Source organism: Homo sapiens, chromosome 2 (assembly GCF_000001405.40).
Source record: "Homo sapiens chromosome 2, GRCh38.p14 Primary Assembly".
NCBI classification, from domain to species: Eukaryota; Metazoa; Chordata; class Mammalia; order Primates; family Hominidae; genus Homo; species Homo sapiens.
Window position 1 is genome coordinate 235660548 of NC_000002.12, and position 21684 is coordinate 235682231.

Genomic DNA, 21684 nt, shown 5'->3' on the forward strand with positions numbered 1-21684 from the left:
ATGAGGGGAGAAGAAGGGGTCAGGGCCAGCAGGGAAAGAGCTTGGGGACTCCTGAGTCCAGCTCCCAGTGATGTGTAGAGTTGAGCTCCATCCTGCTGATCCCAGCAGGAGATAGTGGCGAGACTGGGTATGGTGTGGTTGGGAACTAGAAAGGACACTGGTGTGTTTAGATGGGGAATCTTGGGATGCAATAGAAACAACCTCTGTTGGTTTTCAGCATTGGAGCAGATGCTCCCCATACATCATCACATCTTATTGTCGCAGCTACCGTATTGTTCTTGTCCCGTTTTTGCAGAAATGAAAACCTGATGCAGAGCCTCAAGGTCACTTTCCCAAGGTCACATGTGGTTTGCATCATTCTGGCCTTGGAGCCCAGCCTCTTAGCCACTCAGTGCAACTGTGGAGACTGGAGGGTGTCGGGGCGTTGAATACTGGTTAAGGAAACGGACGCTTTATTCTGCAGGTGACAGGGACTCACTGAGGGCTCCGAACAGAATTGTACCCTCAGACTCTGATTGCAGGAGTAAGGATGGTTTACTGAGAGTAGGCTACGTCTGGGGGTGGGTCAGCAAGGACGTGTGTGCTGTGGGAATCCTGAGACAGATGAAGAGGCTGTGAACAGTAGAGGGAGAGTGGACTCTTCGGGTAGTTCAGACAGATACGCAGGTGGGGAGAGATTGGCAGGCGGAGGAGAGGCTTTTGTTGAGGGCTGGAGGGAGGGAGGAGAGGCAGGCTGTTTCTGTTTTCTGTTAAGTGGGACGTAATCGAGTGTTTTCCTCTGCCGCCTGAAGGAAAGGCGGTGATTGTGATTGAGGGTACAGGGTCCATTTGCCAACTCTGAGCGGGAGAGTTGGGTGTGGGCGGGAGGCAGGACATTGAGGGAGCTCTGAAGTCATGGCTGGAGGCCATCCTACTGAGGGGATGGGGCAGTGATAGTTTCAAGGAATCCTAGGAATGGGAAAGGGGGCTGGCCAGGGCTGTGGGGGTGGGGGGGCTGTAGGATGCTGGAAGCAGCCCCAGCACATGTGCATCTGCAGCGGGACTTGGTGATGTGGACTTGGGGCTTCCGATGCTCGTGCTAGCCTGAATCTCCGGGAGACATGGAGCATCTCAGGGTGGGGTCAGGTTCCCAGGTGAAGCCCCTGCTGCTGATCTGTAGACCGTGCTTGGAGAACACTGGTCCAGTGCACTGGAGTTCGTACAGATCCGCCTTTGGGGCATGCCCAGGGGGGTCTTACAGGAGCCAGGGACAGGTGGGGCCATGTCTGGAGTAGACAGTGATACAGTGATGTCCCTTGGCCTCTGCTGGACAGAGAAGGAGGCGCCAGGAGGCAGCTCTGAGTTGGGATGGAAAGGATGCATGACAGTCAGCTTCCCTACAGCTGGAGGGGAAGTTCCAGAAAGAAAGGATGGCCAACCTGGGACTTGTGGGCAGGGAAAGGGCTTTTGGAGGCCAAGATTGTAGGGCAGTGTTATCCTGGGTGAGTTGGGGTATGGCCATAGGAGGGGGCTCCAGGAATTCAGGGAAGGAAAAGACCATGGCGCTGAGGAGGCGGCACGGCCTGGCCCTCCACCTCCAAGCTGACCACCCTACTCAGCTCCTTTAGGGTGGAGTGGCTGTAAGGCCGTGACCAGGAAAAAAGGGACCCAGGGTGGTGGCACATGAATCCCAGCTTTGTGTATCCACTCAGTTGCATGCCAGGTAGTCACATCTTAACTTGTGGCGCGGCTTTAGAGAGTGTCTGTGCAGGCTGCCTCTGATCCCTCAGTCAGTGTGCAGAGCTGAGCTGATGAGGAAAGTCTTGGTATGTAACCAACCAGGTCTCACCTTCAGCCACACTCCTAGGGACAGAGTGCGTCCATGGAGGGGAGGACTCACAGCAGTTTTGAAGTAATGTAGATTGTGTGGCCATCCCAATTTAGTTTATCATTCCCCTACTTGGTCTGTCTGCCTTCATGGAAGTTGGTGATTTTTTTTTTTTTTTTTTTGGCTCTGTTGCCCAGGCTGGATTGCAGTGGTGGCATCTCAGCTCACTGCAACCTCTGCCTCCTGGGTTCAAGCGATTTTTCTGCCTCAGCCTCCCAAGTAGCTGGGATTACAGGTGTGTGCCACCACACCTGGCCGAAGTTGGTGATTTTGAACAGAGGAAAGATAGCACAGTGTCATAACTCAGCAAAGGTGCTCAGCAGCTGCAGGAGTTGGGGTTTTCTGGGCTCACACCCAGCCTGTGTCCCTCATCCCCTTGCTCCGCTGCAAGAACCCCTCACCCTGCTCAGTGCTCCTGGCCACTGCTGACTGGTGCATGGCGAGCAGAGGTTTTATTCCATCTTACTGTGTCAGATGTGATTCCGGGGACGCAGTTCTTTCTTAAGAGCTCTGATGCATGTTCTAACTAGGAGGGCAGGTAGCTGCCGCTCCCAGCAGCCCCTGATGTGTTTTCCTTCAAGCCTGGGGAACACCGAGCTAGGGACACGCTGGCTAATAGAGGAAGGAGAGCTGGGTATGGTGGCTCACACCTGTAATCCCAGCACTTTGGGAGGCCGAGGCGGGTGGATCATCTGAGGTCAGCCTGACCAACAAGGTGAAACCCTGTCTCTACTAAAAATAAAAATTAGCTGGGCATGGTGGTGGGCGCCTGTGATCCCATCTACTTGGGAGGCTGAGGCAGGAGAATTGCTTGAACCTGGGAGACAGAGGTTGCAGTGAGCCAAGATTGCACCATTGCACTCCAGCCTGGGCAACAAGAAGGAAACTCTGTCTCAAAAAAAAAGAAGGGGAGCGATCACGTGCATCCCTCTGCTGAGATGGGAGCAGCAGCGTGGGGTTGGGCTTTGAACTGGCATCGTAGGCATTTTGTTTTCTACATTTAGAGGAAAAATATACATCAAATATTCAAGTCCCCTGGGCACAGATAAAAGAGTTTTCAGATATCTCTGCAGCCAAATCCCAAATGGGATGCAGAAGGGAGAACTGTGTAAAATCACGCTCTTCCAGAAGCTGGGCTTTGTAATGGGGCTGGCAAAAATTCCCAGGGCATCGTTTGTGGCCTCAATGTGATTTTCATGTAAGTCATGGATTTTCTAAATCTTTGAGGTTAGTGGATCTAAAGAAAAGCTTGGTAAACATCCAGATGTTGTCAAACATATTTAGGTCATTGTTCTCTGACAGTTCGTGATATTCGTTCCTACTCCAGGAAGCTCTTAGGAGAATCCAAATCCGACTTCCCTGTGCTTTGAGAAGGAATGTCTGCATGAAGACCATCGTACAGATGGCGATATTAGAAGAGTTCCCTCCCGTGAATCCTGTAGAGGAAAATGTTACCAAATAGGCCTGTTCCCCTGTGCACCCAATACTAGGAAGATTAGATAATGTGTAGGGATTTCTTGGTTTTTCTGCACAAAAGCTCCAGGGCTGCTTTGAGGCTGTCTGATAGACAGCTGCAGTGTTGTGTGTTACCCTTGACCGCATCCCTCCTGTCCCTGAGCTCGAAGGCTGAATGGTCGATGGGAGCTCCTTTGGTGACTCCGTAGCTGTGGCCAGTGCCTGGCAGCTAGCGAGTGGCCAGAACTGGGAGCTGCTGTGTGTGACGTGGCTGTTCAGTGTTGTTTGTGTTGGCTCTGTAAAACGATGCTTAATAGATTGGATTTTAATATATAGTTTGTTTTTTTGTTTTTTTTTTCGAGACGGAGTTTCACTATTGTTGCCCAGGCTAGAGTGCAGTGGCATGATCTCAGCTCCCTGCAACCTCTGCCTCCTGGGTTCAAGCGATTTCCCTACCTCAGCCCCCCAGGTAGCTGGGATTACAGGTGCACACCACCACGCCCAGCTAATTTTTTTTGTATTTTTATAAATATAAAAAAGATTTCACCATGTTGGCCAGGCTGGTCTCAAACTCCTGATCTCAGGTGATCCACCTGCCTTGGCCTCCCAAAGTGCTGGGATTACAAGCATGAGCCACCACACTTGGCCTGATTTAATATCTTAAGTCACCTTTGCCTGACACTTAGCAAGAAAAACTACCAAGAAATATCTAATATTTTCCTTTTGTTTGGGAATAAGAATCTACTCACAATGGACACTTGCTGGCTTGTTTTAAAACCAAGCTTGCTTCTCACTGGCCTGTTTAAGTGGAAATGAAGTCTCAGTGTGGGGTCCGATGCTTCCTATGGCTGCATGGAGGAAAGGAGTCTGGGCCTGAATCTCCCGTGTTCCTCATGCATGGGTAGAACTAAAGCCTCTTCTTCTGTAATGTGGCAGTTCCCATTCTCAGAGGATAAAGTACGTGTGAGTGATGCCACCTCAACCCTTAGCCAGGTGCAGGCGTAACAAGGGAGACCCACCTGTGCAATATAGTGAGACCCCCATCTTTACCATAAATGAAAAAAACGTTAGCCAAGCATGGTGGCTCACGCCTGTAATCCCAGCACTTTAGGAGGCCAAGATGGGAGAATCATCTGAGGTGAGGCGTTCGAGACCAGCCTGGGCAACATGGCAAGACCCTCCTCTCTACAAAAAAATTTAAAAATTAGCCAGGGGTGGTGACATGTGCCTGTGGTCCCAGCTATTCAGGAGGCAGGAGGATCACTTGAGCCCAGGAGTTCAAGGCTGTAGTGAGCTATGATCTTGCCACTGCACTCTAGCCTGTCTGTGTGGTGGTGTGTTCATACACAATAGACATCGCCAGTGTTCTGTTGGCAGGAATTGCTATCGTTGGTCCTTAAGGAAAAACACAGGAAGGATGCAGGTGCTCAGAGGACCTTCTGGGGTCTTTTTTCCTGCCAGATCAATGTTCCTGCCCTACAGACAGACCATACTTGTCCTTCCTCCACTAGCAGATAAGGGTCAAGTCCTCATCTCTTTTACAGTTCCACGTTTAACCTTCAGCTTTTAAAACGAGAGAAATAGGGTCCCCAGTGAGTTCAGCTGGAGTGTCCCAGGCAAAGGGATGCGTGCAGAATTTTCAGTTCCTAGAAGCTGAGCATCATGGCAAATCTTAGCTTAGAAACCATTCTACCATGACATTCTCAGATGAGAATTTGAGTCTTATGCTAAAAATATAAAAGTATTAATAAGACGTTACTGTCTTGGTAATTGCTTCTTCTTACATGTATCTGTCAGTCAACTGGCTACCAGAAAATAGCCTTTGATGTACCCACGGAGGGGCTCTTGGTGGGCTCCCGGGGTGGGCATGCTCAGGCCTGGGCAGTACCAGTGGTTGGCCAGTTTCTACCATCAGCAGACGCGGTTCTGCTAAGATACTGCAAACGTGATTACTGGCTGTCAGGTTCTGTTATTTGGAAAGCCAGCCTGTGTAGCAGATGGCTCTGCTGACTGGCTACCAGAAGTTTCCTTTAAATAAGGCTTATCAGCTCTAGCAACACTTGGAAATACTATTCTCCAGGAGAATGTTTGATTTATAGGTAGCTAGAAATGACCCGGGACAGAGGAGTCGTGAGACGGTGGCCAAAGCATCTCATAAACTTGGAACTAAGGGAGCGAAGCCAGCTGCTGAGGGTGATGAATGGGGGTTAGCTAGGGCTGGCACCTTTCCTGAACTCTCCTCTGCAGTCTTCCTCTCTCGCGCAGCATTAGTCCCTGCAGCACGGAGGCATTACCCGGCTGCTGTTTGGTTTTGAGGTAGCAGTGAAATCAACTACATGCTTTAAAAAAAAAAAAATGGTGATATGCTCCATGGCATGAAAAAATTCAAGAAATGGCAGTCTAGTGTTTAAAAAGCCACAGGAAAATAAAGCATAATGCCACCTGAACATATATAGTATTGTGATTTTTTTTTCCTCTTCAAAAAAGGCTGGTCTGGCTTTGTAGAAGGGGATTTAGATTTTGGAGTGACATGTCGGGAGCATGTGTCTTCTTTGCATCGGGAGAGCCCATCTCTCTAAGGCAGTGGGGAAAGGCAATTCTCTGTGACCAGGTTTTTCAGCACCCACAGTTGCACTTGACATGGCATCATTATGACTGGTGTGGAAAATAAGTGCTTCCTTCTGAGGTGGAAATGCTGAAAGATCACAAACACACTGGCTATGGCTGGAAGAGGTTCCCTGGAAGAGTCAGTGTCATCTAAGGTGGATGGAATGGATTCTTCTACTCCGCAGCCCGCATCTCATATGGCAAAGTGCAAAACCTGGGATGGATTCTCAACAAAGGTACAGTAATTGGGAGACACAAACAGTCCAGTGTTTTAGCCCTGAAGGAATACTACCTTATTTTTTACTTTGGGCTCTATGAATGCTTCAGATAACAAGCCAGATAGATTTACATACCTTAATTATGGACAAGCTACTTTCATATTAAAGTTCATCTCAGTATGTGAACATTGCCCTGGTCTCAAACAGTGAGAATTGACCTCCCCCTCCCACACCTGGCTAAGTTAGGAGCCCAGGGTTCTGGTCCCACCCTTGACAGTAGCAGAGATCTCTATCTTTCCACGTTGCTGTTTGTTTCTCAGCTTACAGACCTGGGTGACCTTTAAGTCTGTACAGCTGCAGTGATAAAATTTTAGACTTTTGCCATATTTTAGTGGTGTTCATCATTAAAGAGGCGGGATGGCCCTGTAGCTGTCTCTGGGATTATCGCGAAGCTTTTCTCTCCCTCGCTGTCTTTCTGTGGTAAAATCACGTAGCCTTAGCATTTTTCGGGAGTTGGGTCAATTCTTTGAGGACAGAACCCCTGCGTTGTCACTGTGTAGCATTGCAGTAGGTACTCAATATATATTCGATGAATAAATGAACCAATAGAAAACCGAGTAAGTCTGTGAAAGTTTGCTAAAAATGCTACCTGGAAATGTCAAGGTAACATTTACATTTGATTTGTGTGGAGTTCAGTAATATTCACATGTTTACTTTGGTCTTTGTTATCAACAAAGCAGAATGCTGATGCTTACTAAGACAAAAAAAAAATGAGCACAGGCAGTGTGACCCCCAAACCCCAGATTTCACCCTTACTGAGGAGCTGTGTAGCCCTGGGGAGGTGCCCTCTGTCTCCGAGCCTCTGCATCTCCCTAACCAGATGGGCGCTAGGCTGTCATTCTGAACCATTCTGACAGATGAATCCCGCCTGGCTGCTACTCTAGAAGTTGGGGGTTCTTGGTTCTTATCAAAGAGGGCTTCTTTAGCCTGGCGTGGTGGCTCACGCCTGTAATCCCAGCACTCTGGGAGGCTGAGGTGGGCAGATCATGAGGTCAGGAGTTCGAGACCAGCATGACCAACATGGTGAAACCCCATCTCTACTAAAAATACAAAAATTAGCCGGGACTGGTGGCGCGCACCTGTAATCCCAGCTACTCAGGAGGCTGAGACAGGAGAATCACTTGAACCCAGGAGGTGGAGGTTGCAGGAGCCGAGATCGTGCCATTGAGCTCCCGACTGGGCAAGAGCGAGTGAGCCTCTGTCTCAAAAAAAAAAAAAAAAAAAAAAAAAGTCTTCTTTATTGAAACTCAAAAGGTAAAATGATTCTGTCTTGGAGACCCCTCCTTACAATGAGGATGTAATCAGAGGTACCACATCCAGAGCCCTTAGAGTTTGAGTAGCAGGTAGGCTGAGGTATGACCCTGTGATGGTGAAAATCATGTTAAGGTCGAGGCCACAGAGGGTGCTCAGGTGTATTTTAAAGTATCCTTTCAAGATAAATAAAGTGAATCACCTAGCAGTCACTCTGACTTATTTCATTAAATCTGAATATTAAATTTAATGCTGTCATAAAATCTAGATTTCCTAGGCTATAACTTCTATAACTTCCTTCAAAAGAGAGCTTGCCCAATTCAGTTTTATGCCACTTCCAGTGTCGTGAACACAATAGGTACCCCCACAATAAGATTAAAGTAGGGAAAGCTGGCACCTGACAATCCCTGCCTGCAAATAGCAAATCCCAAAGTAATGCTTCCACCTGGCCTGGCCGCCAGCACCTTGCCCAGAAACAGCCTGTAGCAAGCTGTGGCATTTCTAGGCCTGGAGAAGGTCGTGTAAGCATGTGGTGTGATTAGGGGACATTGTATTTTTCCTTCTGAAACTTTTCATCAAGGAAACTCTGAAACAATACATCTGTGTTTAAGACAGCTTGAGGAACTGATAAGTTGATCATCTATGTCTAAATATTGTGGCCTCCGATAACATCCTAGACCAGTATCTATCAGCCCACCAGGTAGGAAATCGAGGATTTGATGGAAGAGAAGTTCAGTTTTCATTATTAATGGTGAATATTTAGCATGTACACAGAATGCCTGGCACATAGGATTTTAACCAATTTAATCTTCACAGGAATGCTCAAAGTTTAGGAGCTTTTATTGGCACCCCTGTTTTACAGGTGGAAAAGCAAGTGGTTTGTCAGTGAATAAGCCTGGCTTGCGGGCAGGCACGTCTGTCTGCTTGCTCTTAACCGCAGTATTCTCCTGTCTGTTGTCATGGGGAGCAAGTGCTTACCTGTAAGGAATCCTTCCCCACACATTGGTAAAATAACCCTACAAGATTATTTTAGAAGTTTTGCACAGAGGCAGTATCGTAGCCATGGAGGTTTATCTGGGGTGAGGTTATTGATAATTGAAAATGAAAACAATAAAGACAGAATTATGTTAGGAGACAGACTGTGGCCCTTCATTGGGATGGCATTGGTGTACACAGCACCCTCACAGTCACATCTCTTTGTTCTTGTCTTCCTGGAAGCCCACTTGTTCCTAGGTGAGGTTGGCGGTAACAGGTACCAAAGACTGTTTTTTAAACAAGTCACATGAGTTGCATCTTCGAGGCTGCATGGTTAGGAAAGATGCCTCATTTAAACGCGCAGCAGGTGAGACATGCCCCTCGTTTTGTTCTTGCAGGCCAAGCCCCAGAGTGGGCGTGGTTTTAGGGTGCAGGCTGGTGCTGGGCTGGGCCCCTCGGAGGCTCCGGTCCGCGCTGCGTCGATCCATCCCGGCGCTTGGGCCTGCACGCCGCCGCGCTCGCCGCCGCCGCCGCCGCCGCGCTCCCGGGACTCGGCCAGCCCGGCTGGGCGCGCGGCCCGCGGTCCCTTGCACGTCGGCCCCCGTCGCCCGCCCCGCCCCGGCGCGCGTTTCCATTTTAAACCGCCGCCCGCCGCCCGCCACCCGCCACCCTTCGGCCGCAGCCGGTGCAGCTGTCCGCGCGTCCCGGAGCCCAGGGAGTGGCGGAGGCTGCGGAACCGCCGAGCTGTGCAGCCGGAGCGGGAGGATGCGCACGGGCCCCGCGTCGTAGACAATGAAGCCGCGGGCGCCGCCGCCTGCCCTGGGCCCTGCGCACCGCGGCCGCACCTGCCGGCGAGAGCGCTCTAGCGCCTGACCGGCCGCCTCGCTTGGCCCCGCCGGCCCATGGCTCGGCGCCCCGGGCCCGGACCCCGGCACTCGGGCGGCGCGGCGCACGGGCCGGCGGGTGCCAGGGGCGCCGTCCCCGCAGCCTGAGTGCGGCCCTCGCGGTCAGCGGGGGGCGTGGGCCACACTCCCGGCCCGCCTGCCCTCCCCGCTTGGCCCGGCGCCCTCCCGGCCCGCGGGCTCGCTGGATGCGGCGGGGCCCCAGCGCGCGGGCGACATGTACTTGTTGGACGGCAGTGGCGAGCCCGCGTCGCCACCCGCGGACGCGATGCCGCGCGGGACGCCCCCCAGAAAGACTGTCTACCGCATCTCCGTGACCATGGTCAGGAAGGAGCAGCTGGCCGCGCCGGGCTCCGGCGGCCCGGACCCACGCCCGGTTCGGCGGCCCCGGCCCGCGCGCTCCCCGGACGCGCCCGGGAGGCTTGAGGAGGAGGCCGAGGAGGCGGAGGGCGCCGAGGAACCGGAGGGTCCCCGGCCGCGCGCTTGGGATTTCCGCACCTTCCGCACCCGCAGCACCGGGCAGCTGGAACTGGGGCGGCTCCGGCCGTGCGCACGCGGCCTGGAACCCGCGGACCTGGCCGGCAGCGCCCCGGCCGAGGAGGAGGGACGCGGCTCGCCCGCGTCCGGCAGCCCCGACGTGGAGGGGGCCCGGGCCGCGCCCCTGCGGCGGAGCCTGAGCTTCAGGCACTGGAGCGGGCCTGAGGCGCCGCAAGGCCGGACACTGGGCGGCGGAAGGCGCCACAGCAGCTCCGGGAGCCTGGCCTGGGCGCCGTGCGACGAGGCCGCGGCCGGGACCACCCTGGAGCCCGCGACCGCCACGCAGCCCGCCTCGGAGAAGCGCAACACCCTGGACGTGGGCGAGGTGCTCAGCAAGAACGACGCGCTCTCGGACCTGGAGCGTTGGGAACGCAGTAAGAGCAAGAACCGCACGCTGGACAACAGCGACCTGCAGCGGCTGGAGCGCGCGCGGGCGGCGGCCGGGGCCGGCGCGGCCTCGGAGCACCGGCTGCTGCGCTTCTTCAGCGGCATCTTCGCGCGCAGGGACGGGGGCCCGGGCGGCGGGCCCTCGCCACGGAGCGGAGCCTCGCGGCCACGCGGCTACTTCAGCCTGCGGCGGGCCCCGGCCGAAGCGCACTCGTCCAGCGCCGAGAGCATCGACGGCTCCCCGCGCAGAGGTGGGCAGCGTGGCCGGGGGTCCCGGGACGGGAAGGGGCGTGGTGGGGACTTGCCGGTTCCGCAGCGGCTATGGGACCCGCCCTCCCGGGTCGGGAGCCTGCACGTGGCCTCGAGGGATGCGAACTCGGGTACTGCGGTTTTCCCCAGCAGGGCGCAGCGGTCCTGGGTTTTCTGGCTGCCCCTGCGCCTGGCTGTGCGTGCTGGTGCCCCTCGGAGTCCACCACCTTCATCAAGGAGAGCTTGACCCGGGAGAGGTCGCCTTGCCAGCCGGCGCCGACCTCCTTCGCGTGCTCGCTGGGTCTTCTGCGGGAGCGGGCCCTGAGCTGGCTGCCCGCGACACCTGTGGGGCCGCCCCAGGGAGCCGAGGCTCGCCGGTCGCCGCCGCACAGGTGCGGCTGCCTGGATGGGAGAAGCCGGCATTCATCCTGGCGCCCCTCCCTGCCTCGAGTCGTCTCCCTGTTAGTGCTACCATCTGTCAGTGTTGTGATGTGGACTCAGCTGACTCCGTGGCCCTCGGTATTGAGCTGGCTGTAAGGACACCTCACTACAGTGGTGGGGCCTGGGGTGGGACGGAGGCCCCTCTCTCCACAGCTTTCCTGCCAGGTGGCATCTTAATGAGGAGAGCGAGTCTGGGACTGGATTCTGTTTCCTCATAATGTAGGCTAGCAAAAGGGCAGGAAAACCGCAGCCCTGCAGCCTGTTCTGAAACCTCAGGTCTGTGTTCCCTTAAGTCCTCAGACAGGGACTTTGCATGGAGGGATCTCCAGCCAGATATGTTATTCTCTGCAGGAATCAGTTAACCTTTTGGTAGCATTTCGGGGTCAGAGCCTCCAGAAACCTCAAAACACAGACTCCATCAACTGCGCATCACCCTGAGGGGGATTCTGGGGGTGGAAGTGGTGCTAGATTGCTACACCTTATTCTCCTGGGAGGGGGTTGTATGCCTGAAGATATTGTGGCCACAGACAAGAGGCCATGCATTTTTACCACCAAAAAAAAAAATATTATTCATCCTCTTATCTGAATTCTTTAACTTGGCTGGTACAGATAAAGGTAGTTGGAGAGTGGGCTTTTGATTTGCAGTTCAGACTGCTGTGTAACCCACCTCTGGAGAGGGTATTCATCCCAAGTGGACTTAACAGGTCAGCTGACTGCCCCTAGGGTTTATGTTAAAACCAACTCATGCAAATAAATGACTGTCCTTATGGAAATATTTTTAAGGTAAAGTGAAGATAAAATGGTCATGTTCTAATATGCTCCTAATGATCCTCAGAATGTGCTAGAGGATGGTTGAAACCAAGCAGTGGCATGTGCGGTAATGTTAAAATCTGACCTGTTTCACTAGTGAGGCTACACTGTTGCCACACTTATGTTTAGCTTGTCATGGCACATCTAGTTTTAACCTCCCTTGGAGCACTTACTTTAGAAGGCACTGTATTTAACTCCAACCATTATCCCATCCCTTCATGTATTCTCTTAAAATATGAGAACATGATGCGTGTTATTTTGTTAAAAGAATTGGTTTGCACGAAGTTGCTCCTGTCATCATTGGCTTTCAGAGGAAGTTAAGACCTGAAGGTCTCAGTTCTCTAATAGCAGGCTTGCATCTTTGCTCTGTGGACTTGGAAGAAAACAGTAATTAGCTGCCTCGGTTCCAGACAAGTTTGTATCAGAGAGAGAAAGAAAAACGCACAGACATGATTTAGAGAGAATGCATTTCATTGTGGTCCCTCTTGATACAAGTTAAAAGCATTTGGAGTTTGGATAGTTCCTCTCTGGTCAAATGGATTGATAGTAGATTTGGAGTAGTAAGGGTGTGAAGTGTGTTGGAATGTTTATAGTAATGCTCAGTTTGTTCCTTGTGGTCAGTCCTTCTCTGGGCGGAATTACTTTGGTCTGAGACATGATATTACCAGCATTGTGGGTTGTATAGAAAAACGGAAATTTAATGAACTACATTATAGCCATATGGTCAGAACTCTAGGGCCTCACTTTTTTCTGAAGTTCTAAGTAATCACATGCTCAAAAAAGCTACATCTTTCACCTGGATAAATTCTTTGCCTTTGGCTAAAATGTCTGACATGTCAATATTCTTAGGATTTTGGTGATGCCAGTGTCTGTTACAGGTAAAAGGTGTAGCCCCCATAGGTGTCACAACTTCTCATTTTATTACATTTTTCCAGTCTTTACATATTTGCTTCCTGTGACATAAATTATTCAGAATTTAGGTGCTGTTTAAGATTTTGAATTTAGGTGAGAATCTCTAAGGTAACAGTCAGATACAGTAGAGCCCAAGCTCAGTTTCCCTGTAAATGTCCATAGGATGCAAGTCCCCAAACCACTGGGGACAGGTGGGTTTGTAGGACTCGGAAATTTTGGATCTGAGGAAGGTAAAATGGTGTGTGTTATATAGAACGCTGCTTGTGAGATCGGGTGGCGCCCTTTAGTAACACACTAGTATTTTGCAGCAAAGCCTGAAATATCCATACTCAGTGAAATAAATAGTGATTAAAAATAGCCTCGTGCCAGTTAGAGTCTGGTTTTGCCACCAAAGTAATTTGCCAGCCATTTATGAAAAGAAGTTCCATTCTCAGACCTTTTTGGATTTCAGATTGACAGCTAAACTATCGTAGACCTGCAACGTGATAAGCATCATGAGAAGCACCACTGGCTTTCTGTACATTTTGGCCATAATGTTTTAAAATTTGGAGTCCTTGAAAATATAAAGGAAATTAGAAGTGACCTCAGCTGGTACAGGTTTTTCTTCCGTTAGAATCTTTTCATATTCTTTAAAAGAGCTAGTAAATTTTTGAATTGGCTACAGAAATCTAAAGACTAAGTAATTATTGCATTAGTCTATTTGGCTTAGAGTTAATTGCTTAGGCAAGGTATTTCCATTAGCACAGGGAAGCAAGATGGCTGGAGTCTTATTTTAAAGCACACACAGGCTCCTACATACGTGTACCTTTGGTTTGCCTGTATTCTGAACTGAAGGCATTAAGGATGAAAGGATTGGAGCACCTACCTTTTGTAGGATGATTCTCTTGTACTGTCTGGTCCTTGTTGGAACTTGTCTATTTAGGCTCTTCCTAGTTCTTCCCTCTAATGCAGAACAGTTGCCTCGGTGAGTTCAGGGCTGCTCCCTCTGTGTAAGGCTTGCAACTGATAGCAGCAAGCCAGCAGACATTCCAGAAAGACCCTGTGTCAGATCAAGGGCAGTTTCGTGTTAACTGATACACATGTGTTAGGGCAGAGTCCGTTGACTCAAGTATAATTTAATACAAGGAAAGATCAAATAATAAATGATAAATGACATTGTAGGGGGTCCCCTTGCAGCGCATGCTCTCTGCATCCCAGTGGATGCCGTCTGGGCCGGCCCTGGAACCAGCTGTGCTGTGAGTGAAGCCCACACTGGCTATGCCCATCCAGAACATTCGGTGTCTTTAGAGTGTTCTCTTGCTGTCTGGGAGGATTGATTACAGTAATAAAGTGATTCATTGATACCTCTTACTGAGGTTAGCTTTTAAAATTAGTAATTTACAACTGATTTTTGACAGCACATTTTATGAGTGGCTTTGTTCTTTAATTTCTGATTCCCTTGATTTGTATCAGTCAATTACTGTAGGGTGATAGACTTTTTTTTTTTTTTTTTGATGGAGTCTCACTCTGTTGCCAGGCTGGAGTGCAGTGAGCGATCTCAGCTCACTGCAACCTCCCCCTCCCAGGTTCAAGCAATTCTCCTCCCTCAGCCTCCCCAGTAGCTGGGACTAGAGGCGCATGCCACCGCACCCAGCTAATTTTTGTGTTTTTAGTAGAGAGAGGGTTTCACCATGTTGGCCAGGATGGTCTCCATCTCTTGACCTCTTGATCCACCCCCCTCGGTCTGGGATTACAGGCATGAGCCACCACACCTGTGGTTTTTTTATTTTATTATTTTATTATTTTTATTTTTTAAACCATTTATATTTTTATTTTTTAAACCATTTAAAACAAACAGCCTTCAGTGGAGAACGTGAGGACACAGCAATTAAATGAAATAAAATTACTGAAACAATTTGATAAAGTTTGATTTTTAAATTTGATTTGTTACTGAAAAGGACACTTTTTGTTGGTTGGTTGGTTGGTTGGTTGGTTTTTTTTTTTTTTTTTGAGACAGAGTCTCGCTCTGTCGCCCAGGCTGGAGTGCAGTGGCGCGATCTCAGCTCACTGCAACCTCTGCCTCCCGGGTTCATGCCATGCTCCTGCCTCAGCCTCTCCGAATAGCTGGGACTACAGGTGCCCGCCACCACGCCCGGCTAATTTATTTGTATTTTTAGTAGAGACGGGGTTTCACTGTGGTCTCAATCTCCTGACCTCGTGATACACCCGCCTCAGCCTCCCAAGGTGCTGGGATTACAAGCCTGAGCGACCGCGCCTGGCCTGAAAAGGACACTAGTAAGGAAACTATGTAATTCAGTGTTTCTCATTTGAAACATTTTGAACTGATTAGTCTTTTGTTATTAGAATTGATTATCTACAGTGTTTTGTTGTTACAATTGAACATTCCTAGAGTTTGCTTGCTTTTTGTAAATTACTCCAGATAGCAATTTAGGAAACTCCTCATTATTTTTGTTTAGGGCTAAAATGATTCTCCTGGAGACAGAGCAGTTGTACTTGGGGTACAAGGAAGAGCTGTGCTGAACGTCAGCCAGGGAACCTTCTAAGTCACCGCTGTGGGCTGTGTCCTGCTGTTTATTTCCTTAGGTTGGAGCCCAAGTTTCAGCATAGGTCACCTGTTAACATCTTTCTCTTTGATAAGTCATCAAAGAGACTTGGGCTGGAATATCCTGCCACCAGGGGGAATGTTCAAAAGTACATCTGCTCCAGAGGTCCTCCAGTGTTGACAGGCACATTGTAGCAAATTATTGGGTTATACAGTTAACAAATACCTTTTGTTTGGAGCTGTAAGACCCAATTATAAAGCACTAGTAGTTTTTGTCTTTTTAATGCATTAACAAACATATATTGCATGTTTATGGTGTGTTCTGCATTCACTAGGCAGTGGAAGCTGGAGCTAACTAGAGCACAGTTCCTGTCTTCAGAGGTCAGTAGCATACTGGAGGAGATGGAAAAGATTGAATGAATCACAGCCTCATGGGGTACTTGAGGGATGATATGACTATTTCTCTGCATAGCATATCTCCATTAGAGCACTAGTCCACTGTGTAACAATAACCTTGCATACATGCCTGCCACTTCTAACTAGTGAGTCCTTCCTGGGCATGAAGCACGTATCATTCCTCTGTGTACTGCAGAGTTGTAGACACTGTGCTTGACACATAGATTTTAGTAAATGTTTATGGGTGGAACTAATGAGAGAACTAGAAGAGGGAGTGAATTGAATGTTCTTGAGTTAATGGGAAGGAGTTAATGAAGGCCTCACAGAGGGGCAAATGAGCTGGATCTTGTAGGATCTGTAGGAGTTTACCAGGTAGAGAAGAGTGACTCCACCAGCAAGGTGTTTGGGATTTCTATAGTTAATTGTTAAGAATTTATTCCTGTTCCCCAGATCCTTATGACTAATGCCAACACTAAACATAAAACAGGATGTTACTCTTTCTACAATGAGCTTTGGTGTTTTTGTTTTTGAAAAATATTTTCGGTATATGGTTTTTGTTTCTGATAGGAATTCTCCTTTAGGCTATTGTCAATTTGTTTTCCTGTAATGATTTGAAACAATTATATTAACTTAAAATGATGTCACAATGAGTGAAATAATGAAAAAAAGTTATAGTTATTGAGGGTAGTCTCATGATGAGATAAAGTGCATACAGCTGCACTCATGTCGCCAGGTGATTAAGAACAGAATTGGTATTAAGGTCAACGGATTAGCAAAAAGGGAGGAGATTATTGTCTTTTCATTATTTTGAAAGAAGTACCATCTGCCCTTGATTGTTTTGGTTTAGGTTTTATTCAGCCCAAATTAGAATCCGCTGTGGTGTTGATTGTTCCTTGTTGGTGATAGCCCTAGAACTGTGTTTCCCATCGTTGATACTTGCATTCACGTTTGCTAGTTCTCTCTTCTCCTGTGAAGACATGAACGTAGCTGCTCCTTTAATTACATTTAGCTAGTTTTAATTCAGAGATGGCTATTGGCCCTTTGTTTTCTTACCATCTTTTATTGTGTTCATTTTCCTAGTTGATTTTTAATGGTGACATCACTAACAGCTCTAAAGACTCAAAGCTTACCAGACAGCACGCTTCCCTGGGTCAGAAGATGAGAGTCCTCTCCTCTCTCATTCAGTACCAGGGTGTACCAGTGAGAGGCTTGTGAAGGGATTGTTTCGGCGACTCCTTATCTAAGAAATGAAGATAATTTTTATGAGGTGCATTTTGGTCTGTGGGAGTGGAAGGGAAAATGACGGTTTCTTTCCTATACTGTCCTTTGTTTGGAATGGTGAAAATGTTTTGAATCTGTTTCTGGTGTGATCGTTAGGTCCAAGATTTCACGTGACGTTGTGTGCCGGGTGTTGTGGTCAACACACAGGAATGCTCCTTTATTCTCTGTACGGCCTTTGGGTGCATCATTTGAGTGGATGTTCATTTGCTTGAGACGATTGTCAGAGGGAATCTTGTGTGCCCTTTGCTCTCTGTGCCTGTCATTGCGAGGGTTTCTTTGAGCCGGTCTGCTGACCGTCAGGCACTTGAGATTGACTCGGTGAACAATGCCGCCAGCCTTTCTGATGCGGCTCCTGCCCTCTCTGACTCCTACACAGGATCAGAATCACTCAGATATCACTTCTGTTGGTGGAGGCGAGAGAAGAATATTTATCCAGTTTCTGCCTTTCTGCCCCCATTAGCTCTTTACCAAAAAAAAAAAAAAAAAAAAAAAAAAAAAAAAAAAAAAAAAAAAAAAAAAAGCAAAACCAGTTATTCTGTGAAAATATGCAAAGCAGAGTTTTGGCCTTGAGGATGCGTATTTGTGACTTGCTTTCCTGTACAGTAAGTGCTGCCGCCTCAGGAGCGGGCGCAGTCGCTTATGGTGCCGGTGAGCCTGCGCGGCGCTGGCTTTTGCTCCTCTGGTGCCAATGCAGCTCGTTGACAGCTCCAAGATATTTGGATATCTCACTCTTCCGGCTATTTCAGCTGCCAAACTAGAATCCCAACCTTCTGAGAGTCTGTTCTCTTTTGGATTTGTTCATAGATGTCTATTCTCTCCTGATCTGGTTCATGAACACTCTGGAAGCCAAGTTCATTGAAGACACTCTGGATGTGTAATTTGGAAGAGGAGACTGGAGCATGGAGGCTTTGTTCCTAGTATTAGAGAAACACATAGAAAGGACACAGTGTCTAGCGCTGGTTAAGGAAACTTAAAGGAAAAAGATTGGGGCTCAGAATTAGGAAGTAATTTCTCACAAGCATAGCCATTCTGCTTTGGAAGAAGCTGGCTTCTCCTATCACTGGAGGCACCCAGACTCGGGCTGGCGAGGGATTGTTAGGACGGGGGCTGTGTGTGTTGTTGCTGGTAGAATTGATGGACTTCAAGTCCCATCCTAGTTTTCAAGGTCTAGAGTCCTTTCAGGATCTAGGATTTGATTTTTGTACCTGGTCTTCTCTCAGGGGGTAGTTTTCTCCCAGGCTTAAAGGAAGATATTTGTCTGGAGTTTCTTTGGACTGTCCTCCTGCCTGCCTGCCTCCCTCCCGCCCCCACCTTGGGATCCTGGTATATTCTGCCGGCTCACCTGAGACGTAGTAAGAGTTCTGCCTGTCAGCTGCAAGGTGCTGGGTGGAAGGTCCCTGCTTCCCACTCCCGCTCTCCTGCCTGCCAGCCCCACAGTAGTGCTGCCTGGGCTTGTGTTTCGCCATGTAGCCCCTCTCGATACCGATGCCATTTGTCTTCTGGGCATCCAGATGGTGAGTGGTGGCTGGGCATGATCTTAATCGGATTCTCCCTGTGCACAGCCAGCCTTGACTCGAAAACTGATTTCAGGTGTGTGGATAATACAATGATGGCGGCAAGAAAGAAAGAATGCTTTTCTGTTGGTTGTTGGAACACATTTAAATTGCCACATGGAGAAAGCACAGTGTCTTGATTTGGTGGAGTGGATTTAGTCTTGACAACAATACTTCGGTTAGTAAGGTGATTCTGCCTAGTTATCTACATCCCTGAGCTCTGTCTACCTTGTGCCAGTAAACAGATATGTCACTGTGCAGCCCAGCACCATATCTTTGCTTTACTTTATTTAGCTGTAATACGGGTTTTGCAAAAGACCTAAAAATAGAAATATTGCATATGTGGCTGTGTTTGCATTTATAGTTACTATGAGATATACATTTGCCCAGGTGGATTTCTTATATCCCGAAGCTCCAAGTATAAGCCAACCTTGTATTTTGCTTTCACTGTTTTCCCCTGTATTTTCTCATGATCTTCAATTTAACTACTTCCTTTAAAATTATTGACCACTGTTACCTTAAAATTATAAATGGGGAGAATAGAGTTCTCTTTTTTTCCTTTGGCTTAATCCCCTTCCCACTCCTCTTATTCGGAGGAGTAGCGATTACTTGGCAGCATATGGATTCGTCTCATTCCTGGTACAAGCCAAATATGTGTTTATTTTGGACAGCTAGTCTGAGTGCTGCGTCCCAACATCACCTTTCCTAATCCCTGCTGTGCCTTCTCCTGGAGGGCTGGCACCAGAGAGCATTGCCTGGAAAGCAGAGTAATCTGTGCTCTTGAGATTTTAGAGAATAAGGATGGATATTCCTTGTTGGGCGTGACTTTTAGTCTTCAGAGTAAGAAAGCACTGACACAGTATATTGATCAGGTTTGTTCAGTGGAGTGTAGTAAAGGTCATTTGGTGAATTCCGTATTTTCAAATATTTAGGTTTCTAATATGATGCGAATGGTGTTACGTGGATCTGTGTTGTACTGACGCTGACATTTTGACTGTCGTTTCTAAGTAACGTACTACTACTTTGGATAAAAAGCACCGTGGCTTAACCATTGAAGATAATGTTACAAACTTAGATAGTGGTTGAGCTAGCAAGTAACTAGTGAGAGGAACTTTAGCTCTATATGCAGGAGATCAGAGCACAGGGAGCTGGCCCCCTGGCTGACCTTCCTTGTGGGCTACCCACGCCTTGCAACTGAAGAGCGGTAATTAAATATATATTCATAGAAGAGTGGTAAAATCTGCTTTGTCCGTGGAAATGAGCTAAAATATTAAGAATTCAAGGATGTTGGGCCAGGATTTGGGCTTTAATTTGGCGCGGGAGAAGTGTTGGGCCTGAGCCCTTGTAGGGGTGGGACAGGGCAGGGGTTTGAGTGTGAATGCTGGTGTCCAGAGGGGTCAGGGGCCCTGCAGCCCCCTCTAGAAGCTGTGACTTGGGAAGCACCCTCGTGTCCATTTGGACCCGTCTCAGGTGACTTGATGTGTGTGATCCCCCCATCTCTGTTCTGTGGCTCTCTATGGGCCTGGGGAAGGGGTCCCAGGCATCCTCTTGAAGCCATGTGGGGAGGCACCGAGAGCAGGAGGCTGGCTTCTCCTGGTGTCTTGTCCTTGGCAGGGAGCAAGTGACATCCATTTTGACTGGTGCTGACAGGGTGAATGTACTAGCATAGGTGTGTGCAGCTGGGGCTGTACCTGCCAGGAGCATCCTGGCGCGGGTCTCCTGCCTGAGCTTCTCCTTGTTGGGAATGCTGTCCTTAGGCAGATCCTCATTTTCAGGCCTCACCAGAATTGCCTGGCCTGGTGGGAAGAGAGTGGCTGCGGGCTCCCAGAGGTTCAGCTCAGAGTTCTACTCCACACTTCCTGGGCCAGCTTCCGCCTCTGAACACCTGAGCTGACACTGGGACTGTGAACCCAGATAAGATGATCATGCTCACAGCTGCAGCTCAGGATGCAGCCAGCTGTGTTTTTCCTACTTCCTCTCAGCTGGGCAGTTTGCTGGCCTCTGAAAATTCTAGCCCCCCCTCCCCCTTTTCTTTTTAGGCAGAGTGTCGCTCTGTCGCCCAGGCTGGAGTGCAGTGGCGCCATCTCGGCTCACTGCAAGCTCCGCCTCCCAGGTTCACACCGTTCTCCTGCCTCAGCCTCCTGAGTAGCTGGGAATACAGGTGCCCACCACCATGCCCAGCTAATTTTTTTGTATTTTTAGTAGAGACGGGGCTTCACCGTGTTAGCCAGGATGGTCTCGATCTCCTGATCTCATGATCTGCCCTCCTCGGCCTCCCAAAGTGCTGGGATTACAGGCGTGAGCCACCATGCCCGGCAATTTTAGCCCTTTTGACACACTCTATGACCCTTCTTACGCGCCTCCCGAGGAGGAAGCATGCACTAGAGCGTGACTACAAACCTGGTGCCATGCTAGAGCGGGAGAGGAGTGACTGCAAACCTAGGCCTCTGTCCTGTCACCTTTCCTCCAGCTGGTGAACCACCTTGTCTACTCCCTTGCCCCAACACAGCCGACAGGTGGACAGCCAGACACATGCAGAGCCATTGTTTTTTCAAAGACCTGTTAAAGTTTAAAGGCTTTGTTCACTCATTCTTGAGACTAACAGTTCAAGTTCACAAGAATAAATGTGGAATACAGTATGCACCTAAAAATATAATACAGTTTTAATTTTCATCTGTACTGTTAGCATTAACCAGCACTTACTGAATAATGTCCTCTTAGGACTCTGTGTTAATTGACTTTTTAAGGTTGATTGTTAATAGAGCAGTAGGTTGGGAATTACAGTATTGGTGAAATTTAACTGTTTTTCACGTGTGTATACCTAAGTCCTATAAAGGGTCTAATTTAGTTTGCTTTTTTTTTTTTTTTTTTTTTTTTTGATACAGAGTCTCACTCCGTCACGCAGGCTGGAGTGCAGTGGCACAATCTCAGCTCACTGCACCCTCTGCCTCCCAGGTTCAAGCAATTCTCTGCCTCAGCCTCCCAAGTAGCTGGGATTACAGGCATCCGCCACCACGCCCAGCTAATTTTTTTTGTATTTTTAGTAGAGACAGGGTTTCACCATGTTGGCCAGGCTGGTCTCGAACTCCTGACCTTGTGATCCACGCATCTTGGCCTCCCAAAGTGCTGGGATTACAGGCGTGAGCCACCGTGCTTGGCCTCGGTTTGCATATTTTATACTGTGTTATGAAACCGTATCAGCACTGTTTTTTTTGTTTGTTTTAATATAGAAATAATATGT

At 49.0% G+C, this 21684-nt stretch overlaps 1 protein-coding gene across 5 annotated transcripts in view; it reads left to right on the forward strand.

The window, feature by feature from the left end:
• The window catches only part of AGAP1 (ArfGAP with GTPase domain, ankyrin repeat and PH domain 1), a 637751-nt gene that overhangs the window by 166505 nt on the left and 449562 nt on the right, over window positions 1-21684 (forward strand). For 2 of the 5 annotated variants that reach the window (NM_001436125.1, NM_001436126.1), the window contains exon 1: window positions 9098-10510. The exons of the other annotated variants lie outside the window; for them this stretch is intronic. In NM_001436125.1, coding sequence (NP_001423054.1) covers window positions 9553-10510 — 958 coding nt within the window. In that variant the 5' untranslated portion in view covers window positions 9098-9552. Of the gene's footprint in view, window positions 1-9097; window positions 10511-21684 lie in introns of those variants that run through there. 5 annotated transcript variants of the gene reach the window in all.